The sequence below is a fragment of the Homo sapiens genome, chromosome 7 (assembly GCF_000001405.40).
Source record: "Homo sapiens chromosome 7, GRCh38.p14 Primary Assembly".
NCBI lineage: Eukaryota > Metazoa > Chordata > Mammalia > Primates > Hominidae > Homo > Homo sapiens.
In genome coordinates this window covers 145,497,306-145,498,240 of record NC_000007.14, presented here as the reverse complement: position 1 = coordinate 145,498,240, position 935 = coordinate 145,497,306, and positions in this window count along the sequence as shown.

Genomic DNA, 935 nt, shown 5'->3' with positions numbered 1-935 from the left:
CTCACAAATATATGAAAATTTTATTTTTCCCTTCCAAAAAGCCAATTGGCTAACACAGATGGTCACCCCAATTACCAAGTGAATTTAGGGTAAACTCTGTGTGACAAATGATGCTGTCAAGTTCTCTTACTTGAGGAATAGCTATTGTTTATTTTGAGAACATGTTTGTAATGAGTTCTATCTACTTGGCTACAAAAAATGTTTCTGTCTTTGCAATCTTAGTCAAATGCTTGTGGTGTGCGTCATATTCTGGTTTAATGCTTATTTAATAATAAAATTGTTTTCTTCCTCTTCTGTCTTTGTGGAGAGGTTTTCTGGATTGGGAGGGAATGTTGTTTTAAATTATATTTCTCCAGCAGTCTGTAGAAATAATGTGCTTTCCAAAGTTGCTGCCTTTAACTGGCTTCACTAGAGAAGAAAGGAAAAGAGAGAGAGAAATCCCTGGTCCTCTGGATATCATATAGCGTTCATGCATCTAATTAAGAAAGAAGGACCAATAACTGTCTCCTCCACTAATCAACTATGTAACAGGAATAAAAGTTTGAGAAAGTGTACATGAGTATGGTGGTGATATTCATTATTATGAAAAATCTATTATTCATAGAATCAAAAGTTATCCAGAAGATTCTAAGTAAATGGCCAAGTGGTGGCACAGTAAATATTTGTAGAGAGAAAAAACGCAAATTGTTGAGGATTAAATCTTCCGTCACTTTTCTTTATGATTTCCATTTCTCTACCATATTCTTGGACTCTCATCTCATGCCTAACCTTACATCCAAATAAGAACAGGCAACAGCTATGTATTGTATTCAGAGATTCCTATACCAAGGGAGTTAGCCACTATAATTGGCATTTGATAGAGGTTCAAAGTCAGACATAGAGGAATAGAAAACTTTACAGTGGAGAAAAAAGGAAAACTTCAGATATGCCCTGAC